This window comes from Homo sapiens, chromosome X (genome assembly GCF_000001405.40).
Source record: "Homo sapiens chromosome X, GRCh38.p14 Primary Assembly".
Lineage (NCBI taxonomy): Eukaryota > Metazoa > Chordata > Mammalia > Primates > Hominidae > Homo > Homo sapiens.
In genome coordinates, this window is record NC_000023.11 from 120,929,382 (window position 1) to 120,947,664 (window position 18,283).

Here is an 18,283-nt window from a genome sequence, read left to right on the forward strand (position 1 = left end):
GATCACACCAACCTTGTCTGCCTAGCACTAGAAAAGCTTGTTGCTTTTGTTTTTACATGAGGGGCCATTCTGGGATTTAAATAAATCTCTCAAGCTTCAACAGCCTGTGCTGGTTCCACAAATAATACTCCCTTACCCTCCCAGACCCTTGGTTTCCGTATCTACCATGTGGGAAAGAAGCCGTTACGAAATATACGGCTGTGAAAATGCAAAATAAATAAATAAATAAGAAAGAAAGAAAAATGTTAACCATTTAAATACACTCAAAGATGGATATACCTTAAGACTTCATTACCAATTCAGTGATAAACACACATTCTTTTCATCTGACTGTGACATAAAATACCAAAATATATAGCCAAATAAATATCTAGGTATTAACCATTCATTGTGGTCCTACTTGAAATTCTTAGCTTTTTGCTATTTTTAAGTAGTCACTTTGTAAAAGGCATTGAGTTGTCTCCTAGTTACTACGGGAGCCTGCATTTCTGTGGTCAAGTAACGAAGGCCCAACTAATGCGTGGCCCAGCCAAGTTAGCGGCTGTGTCTGGCAACTGTTTTCTACACAAATATTGGTCCTGGTAGTAGGTCTGATACATCTGCCACTTGTTAGTAGTCTTGCAGCTAGAGGACAAAAGACCTCAACATGAACAAATGAGTAGCCGAGAAGTATATTTCAGAACACACTGCAGTTCATATTACTAGGTACATGAATATTCTCGTAACATTTTAAGTAAGTTAAATTGAATTTTTAAACTAATTTTAAACTTTTTCTTACTTAACTTACTGAGAATTTTTGTTGTTGTTCAATAAAACTGTCTGCAACAGGTAAATGCCAGGAATAGTTGAGTGATTCTCAAAGCTATACACAGATACCTGGATTTTCTTGGCTTCACCTCTGCTGCGTCTAGGTCCCTTTGGAGTTCTTCACCTTGTTTTCCGCATCCTTCTCTTTTTCTTGTTCTTTCTCTTCCTCGCCTGCAGCATCTTGGGCCTCTTCATCCCACTTTTCGGGCTGAGATTTAGTGACTTCTTTAGGGAAGAATAATACACACATGGGGACCAGACATTCACAGAAAATATAGCCCAATTTATAACTAGCAGCGGCATTCAGCTACTCCACCCTCAGGAGAAGCAGGATAGAGTTAAGTAAGAAAGGAATAGCTGGGCACCTTCCTACTGGTTTTCACAACAGTTCCATGGCCCTCACGTTGCTGCTGCTTGATCATTTCCACAGGGACACTGTATTTCCCTTTTTTCCAGTAAATCTCCCACCCAAAGCGGCTGATTATTTCTAGTTCTTTGGAGAAGAAGAGATCTGAATCATCGGGTCCGATCTCATTCTACGGTGTTTTGGTCAGAACTTTGTTGGGAAAATATTTGTTTACCTCAAAAGACAAATTCTATGGTGAAGCTCATTGGTTCCTCACCCCCCCGAATGCTTCATTTTTACCAAGTGCTCCTGCATCACTTCATCATTTGGGGGATCAACTTTCTACGAATCTTTACACTTTGAAAAGCCATGAACTAAAAGGGATGCCTGCCATTTGCCTGTTCTTTTCCTTGGCGCATCCCTTCTGTTTCCTGCGGAGCTCCCTCCTGAACCCCTATCTACCCGGCCATTCATCTGCGGGCTCACAAATGGCACCGATGATCTCAGATCTCCTATCAAATATAGGTTGGTAGAGGGCGACAAGTTTTCTCAAAACCACAGATGTCGTTAGAGAATTGGGCTTCGACTCATTGGGACACATTCTGCCTTAAGTTTCAGGAGGGCCCCGACTCCTGCTTCACCACCCGAGGCCCCGACCCCCCTTCACCACCCGCTTCACCAGCTATGCCCGCACCGCGGCCCTGCCTAGAACCCTGGGACACACGGGTCCCCGCCTCCCCGCTGCTGCCGCTAGCCCGTTCCTTACCCTCTGGGGCCGTGGCCTCCTGTGCGGTCGGTTCTTCTGTGGCCGGTTCCTCTGCGTCTGGTTCCTCTGTGGCCTCCTCTGAGAGCTTCTCCTCTGCGGCCTCCTCCGCGGGCTCCCTGGCCATCTCGGCCAGGTCAGCTGGCACTGCAGGCTCTGGGACCGATGCGGCCTCCTGGATCAGGCCCAGGCCCTCGCCCGCCCGGGCTGCGGCCCCTGCACCCAGCCTCTGGGGCAGCAGCAGCGGGGGGAGGTTGCCCCAGAGGTTGCGCGCAGCAGCGTGTGGCCCCACCATCAGGCGGCTGAGTTGACGGTTCTCTATGAGGATGTGGTCGTTGTGAGAGAGGCGGTGGAGAAGGGAGTGGACCATGTCCAGGAGCACGAAGTGAATGCCCGACGCCGGGTAGCGACGGGCGACCACCGCCAAGTCGAAGTTGGCCGCCTCGTTCCCCTCTTCCTCCTCCTCTTCCTCCGTCGCGGGCCCGATATCTGAGTCCTCCTCGGCGCTCCCGCCCCGGGGGACTGCGGCCAGGCCTGCCGCCTGCTCACCCTCCTCCTCCCCGAGGCCTTCCACGGGCCCTGCGACTCCGACCACCTCGGCCGCAGGCACCACGTCGCTGCTGTCGGGGCCGGAGTCGCCGCCCTCCTGGTTACCAGCTCCGGCCGCCTCGGCCTGTGCTCCCTCCTGGCTTACCGGGGCCTCCTGGTCCCCTTGGGTCGGGTGTCGGTCCCCTGTGGCAGACATGACACCAGCAGCGCCTCAACTGGGGTGGCGAGCGGGCTGAGGCGACCACGGTGAAGACGGTGACCACTGAGGTGGCTACGGCCGAGGGGAGGCGAGGAGCTGGCCGCTGAGGGAATAAGAGTCTCTCTCTTTATTGAGGGAATAAGAGTCTGTCTCAGACGACACCCTAAGATGGGAAGGGCAGGGAGCGAATCCTAGAAACCTCCCACCAAGGCTGGCCTGAGAGGACTTAGACAAGTTGGGAAAGATTCTGGTTGGCAGGCGAAAGGGGGCGGGACCGGAAGGGTCAACGAGGGGCTCTCAGTGAGCCCTAAGCTCATTTGCTGAAAACTTCAGATTGACATGTTCTATGTCCAATGAATGATCAAGGCCCTTAAGCTCTAGAACTGAGAATCCAGAATCCAGAGCTTTTTCTTTTCTTTTCATAGTGTTGCTCTGTTGCCCAGGCTGGAGTGCAGTGGCAAGATCTCGGCTCACTGCAATCCCCGCCTCCTGGGTTCCAGTGATTCTCCTGCCTCAGCCTCCTGAGTAGCTGGGACTACAGGTACATGCCACCACGCCTGGCTAGGTTTTGTATTTTTAGTAGAGACAGGGTTTCACCATGTTGGCCAGGATGGTCTCGATCTCCTGACCTTGTGATCCACCTGCCTCAGCCTCCCAAAGTGCTTGGATTACAGGCATGAGCCACCGTGCCAGGCCGAGCTCTACCTTTTCTATGAGGCCTTAGTGTCCAAGGCTACCCCTTTAGGTCCACACAAGTCCTGCCCTTTTAATTTTATGATTATTAGCAACACTATAGTAGTCCCATGTGGAGGCACCCTGGAGCATGGGAACTGCAAGGCGGTCACAGAGTTCACTTATTTCCACCTAGTAATGGCTCATGCCAGTAGAGATAGTGTCATAAAAATGTTATATAGTTCATAGCTAAGCAGTAGTGAAAACCTCCCAAGAGACATAAGAATTTCACTGAGTTAACGTAGTTAAAGCTACTTAGAAAAGAATGTGCAGAGTTGAAATGGATGCAGTCATCACTGAGTGTTGAGGTGGTAAATGACAGACACTGGAAGGTGTTTAATGAATCCTGCCAAATTCACTTCAAACCTCCAAATAATGGGGAAAAAAAGAGATACTTTTTTTAAAAGGACCAGGTCATCTCATAAGAGCTAAGCATCAAAAACACCAAAAGTGCCTGGGGGTGGTGGCTCACGCCTGTAATCCAGCACTTTGGGAGGCCGCACTTTGGGAGGCCGAGGCAGGCAGATCACCTGAGGTCAGTAGTTCGAGACCAGCATGACCAATATGGTAAAACCCTGTCTGTACTAAAAATACAAAAAATTAGCTGGACATGGTGGTGCGCGCCTGTAGTCCCAGCTACTCGGAAGGGTGAGGCAGGAAATTTGCTGGAGCCTGGGAGGTGGAGGTTGCAGTGAGCCAAGATGGCCCCACTGCACTCCAGCCTGGGTGACAGAGCGAGACTCAGTTTCAAAAAAAAAAAAAAAAAATTAGTAATATATGCAATATTATTTTCACACTTGCATCACATATTAAATCAGACTAGCCGTATTACAAGTGCTCAGTAGTCACAACACACAGCTCTAAAGATGAGCCCCATCTCTCTCTTTTCAAAAATTGTTTTAAACTTGTCATTTTACTTGATTTTTGGCTGCAGTGAAAGAATTTCAAAGAGTCTTACCAAATGGCGGAAAGTAATATCTTTCAATGAAGGTATGGTGGGCCAAAACAAAGACGTAAAGGAGAGATTTGAGTTAAGATTACTTATTGAAAAATCTTCCCACGTTTCAGTTTATTCATTTAAAACAAACTTTTATTTTTTAACTTGAACACTGTCACATACATCCATGAAAGTTAGATGTCACTGGATATCACTTTTGATGTAACGAACTTTGGAATGATATGTGTTACAATTCCCACAGGCATCTGGAGAAAAAGATAAAAACAATGAACAACAGAGTCTTCTTTCTTTTCCTCCCAACTGTGGGATGAAATGAGAGATGATAAACAATAGTACAACATTAACCAGCACCAGTGACTTTCTAAATAGAAGAAAATGGCCAGCTCTGTGTATATCTGCAACATTTGTGTGCTATATCTTAAACAAGTAGAGAAGCCCATCTTTTCCTTTTGTAACTCACGAGCTTGGATATCAGGGTGCTTGTGGAACTGAAGGTTTCAGTCAAATGATCACACCAACCTTGTCTGCCTAGCACTAGAAAAGCTTGTTGCTTTTGTTTTTACATGAGGGGCCATTCTGGGATTTAAATAAATCTCTCAAGCTTCAACAGCCTGTGCTGGTTCCACAAATAATACTCCCTTACCCTCCCAGACCCTTGGTTTCCGTATCTACCATGTGGGAAAGAAGCCGTTACGAAATATACGGCTGTGAAAATGCAAAATAAATAAATAAATAAGAAAGAAAGAAAAATGTTAACCATTTAAATACACTCAAAGATGGATATACCTTAAGACTTCATTACCAATTCAGTGATAAACACACATTCTTTTCATCTGACTGTGACATAAAATACCAAAATATATAGCCAAATAAATATCTAGGTATTAACCATTCATTGTGGTCCTACTTGAAATTCTTAGCTTTTTGCTATTTTTAAGTAGTCACTTTGTAAAAGGCATTGAGTTGTCTCCTAGTTACTACGGGAGCCTGCATTTCTGTGGTCAAGTAACGAAGGCCCAACTAATGCGTGGCCCAGCCAAGTTAGCGGCTGTGTCTGGCAACTGTTTTCTACACAAATATTGGTCCTGGTAGTAGGTCTGATACATCTGCCACTTGTTAGTAGTCTTGCAGCTAGAGGACAAAAGACCTCAACATGAACAAATGAGTAGCCAAGAAGTATATTTCAGAACACACTGCAGTTCATATTACTAGGTACATGAATATTCTCGTAACATTTTAAGTAAGTTAAATTGAATTTTTAAACTAATTTTAAACTTTTTCTTACTTAACTTACTGAGAATTTTTGTTGTTGTTCAATAAAACTGTCTGCAACAGGTAAATGCCAGGAATAGTTGAGTGATTCTCAAAGCTATACACAGATACCTGGATTTTCTTGGCTTCACCTCTGCTGCGTCTAGGTCCCTTTGGAGTTCTTCACCTTGTTTTCCGCATCCTTCTCTTTTTCTTGTTCTTTCTCTTCCTCGCCTGCAGCATCTTGGGCCTCTTCATCCCACTTTTCGGGCTGAGATTTAGTGACTTCTTTAGGGAAGAATAATACACGCATGGGGACCAGACATTCACAGAAAATATAGCCCAATTTATAACTAGCAGCGGCATTCAGCTACTCCACCCTCAGGAGAAGCAGGATAGAGTTAAGTAAGAAAGGAATAGCTGGGCACCTTCCTACTGGTTTTCACAACAGTTCCATGGCCCTCACGTTGCTGCTGCTTGATCATTTCCACAGGGACACTGTATTTCCCTTTTTTCCAGTAAATCTCCCACCCAAAGCGGCTGATTATTTCTAGTTCTTTGGAGAAGAAGAGATCTGAATCATCGGGTCCGATCTCATTCTACGGTGTTTTGGTCAGAACTTTGTTGGGAAAATATTTGTTTACCTCAAAAGACAAATTCTATGGTGAAGCTCATTGGTTCCTCACCCCCCCGAATGCTTCATTTTTACCAAGTGCTCCTGCATCACTTCATCATTTGGGGGATCAACTTTCTACGAATCTTTACACTTTGAAAAGCCATGAACTAAAAGGGATGCCTGCCATTTGCCTGTTCTTTTCCTTGGCGCATCCCTTCTGTTTCCTGCGGAGCTCCCTCCTGAACCCCTATCTACCCGGCCATTCATCTGCGGGCTCACAAATGGCACCGATGATCTCAGATCTCCTATCAAATATAGGTTGGTAGAGGGCGACAAGTTTTCTCAAAACCACAGATGTCGTTAGAGAATTGGGCTTCGACTCATTGGGACACATTCTGCCTTAAGTTTCAGGAGGGCCCCGACTCCTGCTTCACCACCCGAGGCCCCGACCCCCCTTCACCACCCGCTTCACCAGCTATGCCCGCACCGCGGCCCTGCCTAGAACCCTGGGACACACGGGTCCCCGCCTCCCCGCTGCTGCCGCTAGCCCGTTCCTTACCCTCTGGGGCCGTGGCCTCCTGTGCGGTCGGTTCTTCTGTGGCCGGTTCCTCTGCGTCTGGTTCCTCTGTGGCCTCCTCTGAGAGCTTCTCCTCTGCGGCCTCCTCCGCGGGCTCCCTGGCCATCTCGGCCAGGTCAGCTGGCACTGCAGGCTCTGGGACCGATGCGGCCTCCTGGATCAGGCCCAGGCCCTCGCCCGCCCGGGCTGCGGCCCCTGCACCCAGCCTCTGGGGCAGCAGCAGCGGGGGGAGGTTGCCCCAGAGGTTGCGCGCAGCAGCGTGTGGCCCCACCATCAGGCGGCTGAGTTGACGGTTCTCTATGAGGATGTGGTCGTTGTGAGAGAGGCGGTGGAGAAGGGAGTGGACCATGTCCAGGAGCACGAAGTGAATGCCCGACGCCGGGTAGCGACGGGCGACCACCGCCAAGTCGAAGTTGGCCGCCTCGTTCCCCTCTTCCTCCTCCTCTTCCTCCGTCGCGGGCCCGATATCTGAGTCCTCCTCGGCGCTCCCGCCCCGGGGGACTGCGGCCAGGCCTGCCGCCTGCTCACCCTCCTCCTCCCCGAGGCCTTCCACGGGCCCTGCGACTCCGACCACCTCGGCCGCAGGCACCACGTCGCTGCTGTCGGGGCCGGAGTCGCCGCCCTCCTGGTTACCAGCTCCGGCCGCCTCGGCCTGTGCTCCCTCCTGGCTTACCGGGGCCTCCTGGTCCCCTTGGGTCGGGTGTCGGTCCCCTGTGGCAGACATGACACCAGCAGCGCCTCAACTGGGGTGGCGAGCGGGCTGAGGCGACCACGGTGAAGACGGTGACCACTGAGGTGGCTACGGCCGAGGGGAGGCGAGGAGCTGGCCGCTGAGGGAATAAGAGTCTCTCTCTTTATTGAGGGAATAAGAGTCTGTCTCAGACGACACCCTAAGATGGGAAGGGCAGGGAGCGAATCCTAGAAACCTCCCACCAAGGCTGGCCTGAGAGGACTTAGACAAGTTGGGAAAGATTCTGGTTGGCAGGCGAAAGGGGGCGGGACCGGAAGGGTCAACGAGGGGCTCTCAGTGAGCCCTAAGCTCATTTGCTGAAAACTTCAGATTGACATGTTCTATGTCCAATGAATGATCAAGGCCCTTAAGCTCTAGAACTGAGAATCCAGAATCCAGAGCTTTTTCTTTTCTTTTCATAGTGTTGCTCTGTTGCCCAGGCTGGAGTGCAGTGGCAAGATCTCGGCTCACTGCAATCCCCGCCTCCTGGGTTCCAGTGATTCTCCTGCCTCAGCCTCCTGAGTAGCTGGGACTACAGGTACATGCCACCACGCCTGGCTAGGTTTTGTATTTTTAGTAGAGACAGGGTTTCACCATGTTGGCCAGGATGGTCTCGATCTCCTGACCTTGTGATCCACCTGCCTCAGCCTCCCAAAGTGCTTGGATTACAGGCATGAGCCACCGTGCCAGGCCGAGCTCTACCTTTTCTATGAGGCCTTAGTGTCCAAGGCTACCCCTTTAGGTCCACACAAGTCCTGCCCTTTTAATTTTATGATTATTAGCAACACTATAGTAGTCCCATGTGGAGGCACCCTGGAGCATGGGAACTGCAAGGCGGTCACAGAGTTCACTTATTTCCACCTAGTAATGGCTCATGCCAGTAGAGATAGTGTCATAAAAATGTTATATAGTTCATAGCTAAGCAGTAGTGAAAACCTCCCAAGAGACATAAGAATTTCACTGAGTTAACGTAGTTAAAGCTACTTAGAAAAGAATGTGCGGAGTTGAAATGGATGCAGTCATCACTGAGTGTTGAGGTGGTAAATGACAGACACTGGAAGGTGTTTAATGAATCCTGCCAAATTCACTTCAAACCTCCAAATAATGGGGAAAAAAAGAGATACTTTTTTTAAAAGGACCAGGTCATCTCATAAGAGCTAAGCATCAAAAACACCAAAAGTGCCTGGGGGTGGTGGCTCACGCCTGTAATCCAGCACTTTGGGAGGCCGCACTTTGGGAGGCCGAGGCAGGCAGATCACCTGAGGTCAGTAGTTCGAGACCAGCATGACCAATATGGTAAAACCCTGTCTGTACTAAAAATACAAAAAATTAGCTGGACATGGTGGTGCGCGCCTGTAGTCCCAGCTACTCGGAAGGGTGAGGCAGGAAATTTGCTGGAGCCTGGGAGGTGGAGGTTGCAGTGAGCCAAGATGGCCCCACTGCACTCCAGCCTGGGTGACAGAGCGAGACTCAGTTTCAAAAAAAAAAAAAAAAAATTAGTAATATATGCAATATTATTTTCACACTTGCATCACATATTAAATCAGACTAGCCGTATTACAAGTGCTCAGTAGTCACAACACACAGCTCTAAAGATGAGCCCCATCTCTCTCTTTTCAAAAATTGTTTTAAACTTGTCATTTTACTTGATTTTTGGCTGCAGTGAAAGAATTTCAAAGAGTCTTACCAAATGGCGGAAAGTAATATCTTTCAATGAAGGTATGGTGGGCCAAAACAAAGACGTAAAGGAGAGATTTGAGTTAAGATTACTTATTGAAAAATCTTCCCACGTTTCAGTTTATTCATTTAAAACAAACTTTTATTTTTTAACTTGAACACTGTCACATACATCCATGAAAGTTAGATGTCACTGGATATCACTTTTGATGTAACGAACTTTGGAATGATATGTGTTACAATTCCCACAGGCATCTGGAGAAAAAGATAAAAACAATGAACAACAGAGTCTTCTTTCTTTTCCTCCCAACTGTGGGATGAAATGAGAGATGATAAACAATAGTACAACATTAACCAGCACCAGTGACTTTCTAAATAGAAGAAAATGGCCAGCTCTGTGTATATCTGCAACATTTGTGTGCTATATCTTAAACAAGTAGAGAAGCCCATCTTTTCCTTTTGTAACTCACGAGCTTGGATATCAGGGTGCTTGTGGAACTGAAGGTTTCAGTCAAATGATCACACCAACCTTGTCTGCCTAGCACTAGAAAAGCTTGTTGCTTTTGTTTTTACATGAGGGGCCATTCTGGGATTTAAATAAATCTCTCAAGCTTCAACAGCCTGTGCTGGTTCCACAAATAATACTCCCTTACCCTCCCAGACCCTTGGTTTCCGTATCTACCATGTGGGAAAGAAGCCGTTACGAAATATACGGCTGTGAAAATGCAAAATAAATAAATAAATAAGAAAGAAAGAAAAATGTTAACCATTTAAATACACTCAAAGATGGATATACCTTAAGACTTCATTACCAATTCAGTGATAAACACACATTCTTTTCATCTGACTGTGACATAAAATACCAAAATATATAGCCAAATAAATATCTAGGTATTAACCATTCATTGTGGTCCTACTTGAAATTCTTAGCTTTTTGCTATTTTTAAGTAGTCACTTTGTAAAAGGCATTGAGTTGTCTCCTAGTTACTACGGGAGCCTGCATTTCTGTGGTCAAGTAACGAAGGCCCAACTAATGCGTGGCCCAGCCAAGTTAGCGGCTGTGTCTGGCAACTGTTTTCTACACAAATATTGGTCCTGGTAGTAGGTCTGATACATCTGCCACTTGTTAGTAGTCTTGCAGCTAGAGGACAAAAGACCTCAACATGAACAAATGAGTAGCCGAGAAGTATATTTCAGAACACACTGCAGTTCATATTACTAGGTACATGAATATTCTCGTAACATTTTAAGTAAGTTAAATTGAATTTTTAAACTAATTTTAAACTTTTTCTTACTTAACTTACTGAGAATTTTTGTTGTTGTTCAATAAAACTGTCTGCAACAGGTAAATGCCAGGAATAGTTGAGTGATTCTCAAAGCTATACACAGATACCTGGATTTTCTTGGCTTCACCTCTGCTGCGTCTAGGTCCCTTTGGAGTTCTTCACCTTGTTTTCCGCATCCTTCTCTTTTTCTTGTTCTTTCTCTTCCTCGCCTGCAGCATCTTGGGCCTCTTCATCCCACTTTTCGGGCTGAGATTTAGTGACTTCTTTAGGGAAGAATAATACACACATGGGGACCAGACATTCACAGAAAATATAGCCCAATTTATAACTAGCAGCGGCATTCAGCTACTCCACCCTCAGGAGAAGCAGGATAGAGTTAAGTAAGAAAGGAATAGCTGGGCACCTTCCTACTGGTTTTCACAACAGTTCCATGGCCCTCACGTTGCTGCTGCTTGATCATTTCCACAGGGACACTGTATTTCCCTTTTTTCCAGTAAATCTCCCACCCAAAGCGGCTGATTATTTCTAGTTCTTTGGAGAAGAAGAGATCTGAATCATCGGGTCCGATCTCATTCTACGGTGTTTTGGTCAGAACTTTGTTGGGAAAATATTTGTTTACCTCAAAAGACAAATTCTATGGTGAAGCTCATTGGTTCCTCACCCCCCCGAATGCTTCATTTTTACCAAGTGCTCCTGCATCACTTCATCATTTGGGGGATCAACTTTCTACGAATCTTTACACTTTGAAAAGCCATGAACTAAAAGGGATGCCTGCCATTTGCCTGTTCTTTTCCTTGGCGCATCCCTTCTGTTTCCTGCGGAGCTCCCTCCTGAACCCCTATCTACCCGGCCATTCATCTGCGGGCTCACAAATGGCACCGATGATCTCAGATCTCCTATCAAATATAGGTTGGTAGAGGGCGACAAGTTTTCTCAAAACCACAGATGTCGTTAGAGAATTGGGCTTCGACTCATTGGGACACATTCTGCCTTAAGTTTCAGGAGGGCCCCGACTCCTGCTTCACCACCCGAGGCCCCGACCCCCCTTCACCACCCGCTTCACCAGCTATGCCCGCACCGCGGCCCTGCCTAGAACCCTGGGACACACGGGTCCCCGCCTCCCCGCTGCTGCCGCTAGCCCGTTCCTTACCCTCTGGGGCCGTGGCCTCCTGTGCGGTCGGTTCTTCTGTGGCCGGTTCCTCTGCGTCTGGTTCCTCTGTGGCCTCCTCTGAGAGCTTCTCCTCTGCGGCCTCCTCCGCGGGCTCCCTGGCCATCTCGGCCAGGTCAGCTGGCACTGCAGGCTCTGGGACCGATGCGGCCTCCTGGATCAGGCCCAGGCCCTCGCCCGCCCGGGCTGCGGCCCCTGCACCCAGCCTCTGGGGCAGCAGCAGCGGGGGGAGGTTGCCCCAGAGGTTGCGCGCAGCAGCGTGTGGCCCCACCATCAGGCGGCTGAGTTGACGGTTCTCTATGAGGATGTGGTCGTTGTGAGAGAGGCGGTGGAGAAGGGAGTGGACCATGTCCAGGAGCACGAAGTGAATGCCCGACGCCGGGTAGCGACGGGCGACCACCGCCAAGTCGAAGTTGGCCGCCTCGTTCCCCTCTTCCTCCTCCTCTTCCTCCGTCGCGGGCCCGATATCTGAGTCCTCCTCGGCGCTCCCGCCCCGGGGGACTGCGGCCAGGCCTGCCGCCTGCTCACCCTCCTCCTCCCCGAGGCCTTCCACGGGCCCTGCGACTCCGACCACCTCGGCCGCAGGCACCACGTCGCTGCTGTCGGGGCCGGAGTCGCCGCCCTCCTGGTTACCAGCTCCGGCCGCCTCGGCCTGTGCTCCCTCCTGGCTTACCGGGGCCTCCTGGTCCCCTTGGGTCGGGTGTCGGTCCCCTGTGGCAGACATGACACCAGCAGCGCCTCAACTGGGGTGGCGAGCGGGCTGAGGCGACCACGGTGAAGACGGTGACCACTGAGGTGGCTACGGCCGAGGGGAGGCGAGGAGCTGGCCGCTGAGGGAATAAGAGTCTCTCTCTTTATTGAGGGAATAAGAGTCTGTCTCAGACGACACCCTAAGATGGGAAGGGCAGGGAGCGAATCCTAGAAACCTCCCACCAAGGCTGGCCTGAGAGGACTTAGACAAGTTGGGAAAGATTCTGGTTGGCAGGCGAAAGGGGGCGGGACCGGAAGGGTCAACGAGGGGCTCTCAGTGAGCCCTAAGCTCATTTGCTGAAAACTTCAGATTGACATGTTCTATGTCCAATGAATGATCAAGGCCCTTAAGCTCTAGAACTGAGAATCCAGAATCCAGAGCTTTTTCTTTTCTTTTCATAGTGTTGCTCTGTTGCCCAGGCTGGAGTGCAGTGGCAAGATCTCGGCTCACTGCAATCCCCGCCTCCTGGGTTCCAGTGATTCTCCTGCCTCAGCCTCCTGAGTAGCTGGGACTACAGGTACATGCCACCACGCCTGGCTAGGTTTTGTATTTTTAGTAGAGACAGGGTTTCACCATGTTGGCCAGGATGGTCTCGATCTCCTGACCTTGTGATCCACCTGCCTCAGCCTCCCAAAGTGCTTGGATTACAGGCATGAGCCACCGTGCCAGGCCGAGCTCTACCTTTTCTATGAGGCCTTAGTGTCCAAGGCTACCCCTTTAGGTCCACACAAGTCCTGCCCTTTTAATTTTATGATTATTAGCAACACTATAGTAGTCCCATGTGGAGGCACCCTGGAGCATGGGAACTGCAAGGCGGTCACAGAGTTCACTTATTTCCACCTAGTAATGGCTCATGCCAGTAGAGATAGTGTCATAAAAATGTTATATAGTTCATAGCTAAGCAGTAGTGAAAACCTCCCAAGAGACATAAGAATTTCACTGAGTTAACGTAGTTAAAGCTACTTAGAAAAGAATGTGCGGAGTTGAAATGGATGCAGTCATCACTGAGTGTTGAGGTGGTAAATGACAGACACTGGAAGGTGTTTAATGAATCCTGCCAAATTCACTTCAAACCTCCAAATAATGGGGAAAAAAAGAGATACTTTTTTTAAAAGGACCAGGTCATCTCATAAGAGCTAAGCATCAAAAACACCAAAAGTGCCTGGGGGTGGTGGCTCACGCCTGTAATCCAGCACTTTGGGAGGCCGCACTTTGGGAGGCCGAGGCAGGCAGATCACCTGAGGTCAGTAGTTCGAGACCAGCATGACCAATATGGTAAAACCCTGTCTGTACTAAAAATACAAAAAACTAGCTGGACATGGTGGTGCGCGCCTGTAGTCCCAGCTACTCGGAAGGGTGAGGCAGGAAATTTGCTGGAGCCTGGGAGGTGGAGGTTGCAGTGAGCCAAGATGGCCCCACTGCACTCCAGCCTGGGTGACAGAGCGAGACTCAGTTTCAAAAAAAAAAAAAAAAATTAGTAATATATGCAATATTATTTTCACACTTGCATCACATATTAAATCAGACTAGCCGTATTACAAGTGCTCAGTAGTCACAACACACAGCTCTAAAGATGAGCCCCATCTCTCTCTTTTCAAAAATTGTTTTAAACTTGTCATTTTACTTGATTTTTGGCTGCAGTGAAAGAATTTCAAAGAGTCTTACCAAATGGCGGAAAGTAATATCTTTCAATGAAGGTATGGTGGGCCAAAACAAAGACGTAAAGGAGAGATTTGAGTTAAGATTACTTATTGAAAAATCTTCCCACGTTTCAGTTTATTCATTTAAAACAAACTTTTATTTTTTAACTTGAACACTGTCACATACATCCATGAAAGTTAGATGTCACTGGATATCACTTTTGATGTAACGAACTTTGGAATGATATGTGTTACAATTCCCACAGGCATCTGGAGAAAAAGATAAAAACAATGAACAACAGAGTCTTCTTTCTTTTCCTCCCAACTGTGGGATGAAATGAGAGATGATAAACAATAGTACAACATTAACCAGCACCAGTGACTTTCTAAATAGAAGAAAATGGCCAGCTCTGTGTATATCTGCAACATTTGTGTGCTATATCTTAAACAAGTAGAGAAGCCCATCTTTTCCTTTTGTAACTCACGAGCTTGGATATCAGGGTGCTTGTGGAACTGAAGGTTTCAGTCAAATGATCACACCAACCTTGTCTGCCTAGCACTAGAAAAGCTTGTTGCTTTTGTTTTTACATGAGGGGCCATTCTGGGATTTAAATAAATCTCTCAAGCTTCAACAGCCTGTGCTGGTTCCACAAATAATACTCCCTTACCCTCCCAGACCCTTGGTTTCCGTATCTACCATGTGGGAAAGAAGCCGTTACGAAATATACGGCTGTGAAAATGCAAAATAAATAAATAAATAAGAAAGAAAGAAAAATGTTAACCATTTAAATACACTCAAAGATGGATATACCTTAAGACTTCATTACCAATTCAGTGATAAACACACATTCTTTTCATCTGACTGTGACATAAAATACCAAAATATATAGCCAAATAAATATCTAGGTATTAACCATTCATTGTGGTCCTACTTGAAATTCTTAGCTTTTTGCTATTTTTAAGTAGTCACTTTGTAAAAGGCATTGAGTTGTCTCCTAGTTACTACGGGAGCCTGCATTTCTGTGGTCAAGTAACGAAGGCCCAACTAATGCGTGGCCCAGCCAAGTTAGCGGCTGTGTCTGGCAACTGTTTTCTACACAAATATTGGTCCTGGTAGTAGGTCTGATACATCTGCCACTTGTTAGTAGTCTTGCAGCTAGAGGACAAAAGACCTCAACATGAACAAATGAGTAGCCGAGAAGTATATTTCAGAACACACTGCAGTTCATATTACTAGGTACATGAATATTCTCGTAACATTTTAAGTAAGTTAAATTGAATTTTTAAACTAATTTTAAACTTTTTCTTACTTAACTTACTGAGAATTTTTGTTGTTGTTCAATAAAACTGTCTGCAACAGGTAAATGCCAGGAATAGTTGAGTGATTCTCAAAGCTATACACAGATACCTGGATTTTCTTGGCTTCACCTCTGCTGCGTCTAGGTCCCTTTGGAGTTCTTCACCTTGTTTTCCGCATCCTTCTCTTTTTCTTGTTCTTTCTCTTCCTCGCCTGCAGCATCTTGGGCCTCTTCATCCCACTTTTCGGGCTGAGATTTAGTGACTTCTTTAGGGAAGAATAATACACACATGGGGACCAGACATTCACAGAAAATATAGCCCAATTTATAACTAGCAGCGGCATTCAGCTACTCCACCCTCAGGAGAAGCAGGATAGAGTTAAGTAAGAAAGGAATAGCTGGGCACCTTCCTACTGGTTTTCACAACAGTTCCATGGCCCTCACGTTGCTGCTGCTTGATCATTTCCACAGGGACACTGTATTTCCCTTTTTTCCAGTAAATCTCCCACCCAAAGCGGCTGATTATTTCTAGTTCTTTGGAGAAGAAGAGATCTGAATCATCGGGTCCGATCTCATTCTACGGTGTTTTGGTCAGAACTTTGTTGGGAAAATATTTGTTTACCTCAAAAGACAAATTCTATGGTGAAGCTCATTGGTTCCTCACCCCCCCGAATGCTTCATTTTTACCAAGTGCTCCTGCATCACTTCATCATTTGGGGGATCAACTTTCTACGAATCTTTACACTTTGAAAAGCCATGAACTAAAAGGGATGCCTGCCATTTGCCTGTTCTTTTCCTTGGCGCATCCCTTCTGTTTCCTGCGGAGCTCCCTCCTGAACCCCTATCTACCCGGCCATTCATCTGCGGGCTCACAAATGGCACCGATGATCTCAGATCTCCTATCAAATATAGGTTGGTAGAGGGCGACAAGTTTTCTCAAAACCACAGATGTCGTTAGAGAATTGGGCTTCGACTCATTGGGACACATTCTGCCTTAAGTTTCAGGAGGGCCCCGACTCCTGCTTCACCACCCGAGGCCCCGACCCCCCTTCACCACCCGCTTCACCAGCTATGCCCGCACCGCGGCCCTGCCTAGAACCCTGGGACACACGGGTCCCCGCCTCCCCGCTGCTGCCGCTAGCCCGTTCCTTACCCTCTGGGGCCGTGGCCTCCTGTGCGGTCGGTTCTTCTGTGGCCGGTTCCTCTGCGTCTGGTTCCTCTGTGGCCTCCTCTGAGAGCTTCTCCTCTGCGGCCTCCTCCGCGGGCTCCCTGGCCATCTCGGCCAGGTCAGCTGGCACTGCAGGCTCTGGGACCGATGCGGCCTCCTGGATCAGGCCCAGGCCCTCGCCCGCCCGGGCTGCGGCCCCTGCACCCAGCCTCTGGGGCAGCAGCAGCGGGGGGAGGTTGCCCCAGAGGTTGCGCGCAGCAGCGTGTGGCCCCACCATCAGGCGGCTGAGTTGACGGTTCTCTATGAGGATGTGGTCGTTGTGAGAGAGGCGGTGGAGAAGGGAGTGGACCATGTCCAGGAGCACGAAGTGAATGCCCGACGCCGGGTAGCGACGGGCGACCACCGCCAAGTCGAAGTTGGCCGCCTCGTTCCCCTCTTCCTCCTCCTCTTCCTCCGTCGCGGGCCCGATATCTGAGTCCTCCTCGGCGCTCCCGCCCCGGGGGACTGCGGCCAGGCCTGCCGCCTGCTCACCCTCCTCCTCCCCGAGGCCTTCCACGGGCCCTGCGACTCCGACCACCTCGGCCGCAGGCACCACGTCGCTGCTGTCGGGGCCGGAGTCGCCGCCCTCCTGGTTACCAGCTCCGGCCGCCTCGGCCTGTGCTCCCTCCTGGCTTACCGGGGCCTCCTGGTCCCCTTGGGTCGGGTGTCGGTCCCCTGTGGCAGACATGACACCAGCAGCGCCTCAACTGGGGTGGCGAGCGGGCTGAGGCGACCACGGTGAAGACGGTGACCACTGAGGTGGCTACGGCCGAGGGGAGGCGAGGAGCTGGCCGCTGAGGGAATAAGAGTCTCTCTCTTTATTGAGGGAATAAGAGTCTGTCTCAGACGACACCCTAAGATGGGAAGGGCAGGGAGCGAATCCTAGAAACCTCCCACCAAGGCTGGCCTGAGAGGACTTAGACAAGTTGGGAAAGATTCTGGTTGGCAGGCGAAAGGGGGCGGGACCGGAAGGGTCAACGAGGGGCTCTCAGTGAGCCCTAAGCTCATTTGCTGAAAACTTCAGATTGACATGTTCTATGTCCAATGAATGATCAAGGCCCTTAAGCTCTAGAACTGAGAATCCAGAATCCAGAGCTTTTTCTTTTCTTTTCATAGTGTTGCTCTGTTGCCCAGGCTGGAGTGCAGTGGCAAGATCTCGGCTCACTGCAATCCCCGCCTCCTGGGTTCCAGTGATTCTCCTGCCTCAGCCTCCTGAGTAGCTGGGACTACAGGTACATGCCACCACGCCTGGCTAGGTTTTGTATTTTTAGTAGAGACAGGGTTTCACCATGTTGGCCAGGATGGTCTCGATCTCCTGACCTTGTGATCCACCTGCCTCAGCCTCCCAAAGTGCTTGGATTACAGGCATGAGCCACCGTGCCAGGCCGAGCTCTACCTTTTCTATGAGGCCTTAGTGTCCAAGGCTACCCCTTTAGGTCCACACAAGTCCTGCCCTTTTAATTTTATGATTATTAGCAACACTATAGTAGTCCCATGTGGAGGCACCCTGGAGCATGGGAACTGCAAGGCGGTCACAGAGTTCACTTATTTCCACCTAGTAATGGCTCATGCCAGTAGAGATAGTGTCATAAAAATGTTATATAGTTCATAGCTAAGCAGTAGTGAAAACCTCCCAAGAGACATAAGAATTTCACTGAGTTAACGTAGTTAAAGCTACTTAGAAAAGAATGTGCGGAGTTGAAATGGATGCAGTCATCACTGAGTGTT

At 48.7% G+C, this 18,283-nt stretch overlaps 4 protein-coding genes across 8 annotated transcripts in view; all 4 read right to left on the reverse strand.

The window, feature by feature from the left end:
• CT47A12 (cancer/testis antigen family 47 member A12) overlaps positions 1-2,920 on the reverse strand; it is a 54,812-nt gene extending 51,892 nt beyond the window's left edge. The window contains exons 1-2 of one of the 2 annotated variants that reach the window (NM_001242922.2): positions 1,920-2,920; positions 877-1,032 (exon numbers count right to left, since the gene is read on the reverse strand). In NM_001242922.2, the coding sequence (NP_001229851.1) occupies positions 908-1,032; positions 1,920-2,661 (867 nt within the window). In that variant the 5' untranslated portion in view covers positions 2,662-2,920 and the 3' untranslated portion in view covers positions 877-907. Of the gene's footprint in view, positions 1-876; positions 1,033-1,215; positions 1,666-1,919 lie in introns of those variants that run through there. The other variant, XM_017029190.2, reaches the window with a different exon arrangement.
• On the reverse strand, positions 4,459-7,777 carry CT47A11 (cancer/testis antigen family 47 member A11). 2 transcript variants are annotated; one of them, NM_173571.2, is made up of 3 exons: positions 6,781-7,777; positions 5,738-5,893; positions 4,459-4,599 (listed from the first exon to the last, which is right to left on the reverse strand). In NM_173571.2, the coding sequence occupies exons 1-2, from the start codon at positions 7,520-7,522 to the stop codon at positions 5,769-5,771; spliced, it is 867 nt and encodes a 288-aa protein (NP_775842.2). In that variant the 5' UTR covers positions 7,523-7,777; the 3' UTR covers positions 4,459-4,599; positions 5,738-5,768. The 2 variants fall into 2 exon arrangements, with proteins under 2 accessions (NP_775842.2, XP_011529621.1); XM_011531319.3 differs by lacking the exons at positions 4,459-4,599; positions 5,738-5,893 and adding an exon at positions 6,077-6,526.
• CT47A10 (cancer/testis antigen family 47 member A10) lies at positions 9,320-12,642 on the reverse strand. 2 transcript variants are annotated; one of them, NM_001080137.2, is made up of 3 exons: positions 11,642-12,642; positions 10,599-10,754; positions 9,320-9,460 (listed from the first exon to the last, which is right to left on the reverse strand). In NM_001080137.2, exons 1-2 carry the CDS (start codon positions 12,381-12,383, stop codon positions 10,630-10,632), a joined length of 867 nt encoding a protein of 288 aa, NP_001073606.1. In that variant the 5' UTR covers positions 12,384-12,642; the 3' UTR covers positions 9,320-9,460; positions 10,599-10,629. The 2 variants fall into 2 exon arrangements, with proteins under 2 accessions (NP_001073606.1, XP_011529683.1); XM_011531381.3 differs by lacking the exons at positions 9,320-9,460; positions 10,599-10,754 and adding an exon at positions 10,938-11,387.
• CT47A9 (cancer/testis antigen family 47 member A9) lies at positions 14,180-17,502 on the reverse strand. 2 transcript variants are annotated; one of them, NM_001080138.2, is made up of 3 exons: positions 16,502-17,502; positions 15,459-15,614; positions 14,180-14,320 (listed from the first exon to the last, which is right to left on the reverse strand). In NM_001080138.2, exons 1-2 carry the CDS (start codon positions 17,241-17,243, stop codon positions 15,490-15,492), a joined length of 867 nt encoding a protein of 288 aa, NP_001073607.1. In that variant the 5' UTR covers positions 17,244-17,502; the 3' UTR covers positions 14,180-14,320; positions 15,459-15,489. The 2 variants fall into 2 exon arrangements, with proteins under 2 accessions (NP_001073607.1, XP_011529684.1); XM_011531382.3 differs by lacking the exons at positions 14,180-14,320; positions 15,459-15,614 and adding an exon at positions 15,798-16,247.

What these genes read in the sequence shown, in the direction of transcription:
- CT47A11 (XM_011531319.3), bottom strand. Translation starts at nt 7,522, where the DNA reads ATGTCTGCCACAGGGGACCGACACCCGACCCAAGGGGACCAGGAGGCC. An exon ending in GGAGGCCACGGCCCCAGAGG is followed by an intron (nt 6,527 to 6,780) that starts GTAAGGAACGGG and finishes TATATTTGATAG; the next exon opens with GAGATCTGAGATCATCGGTG.
- CT47A10 (XM_011531381.3), bottom strand. Translation starts at nt 12,383, where the DNA reads ATGTCTGCCACAGGGGACCGACACCCGACCCAAGGGGACCAGGAGGCC. An exon ending in GGAGGCCACGGCCCCAGAGG is followed by an intron (nt 11,388 to 11,641) that starts GTAAGGAACGGG and finishes TATATTTGATAG; the next exon opens with GAGATCTGAGATCATCGGTG.
- CT47A9 (XM_011531382.3), bottom strand. Translation starts at nt 17,243, where the DNA reads ATGTCTGCCACAGGGGACCGACACCCGACCCAAGGGGACCAGGAGGCC. An exon ending in GGAGGCCACGGCCCCAGAGG is followed by an intron (nt 16,248 to 16,501) that starts GTAAGGAACGGG and finishes TATATTTGATAG; the next exon opens with GAGATCTGAGATCATCGGTG.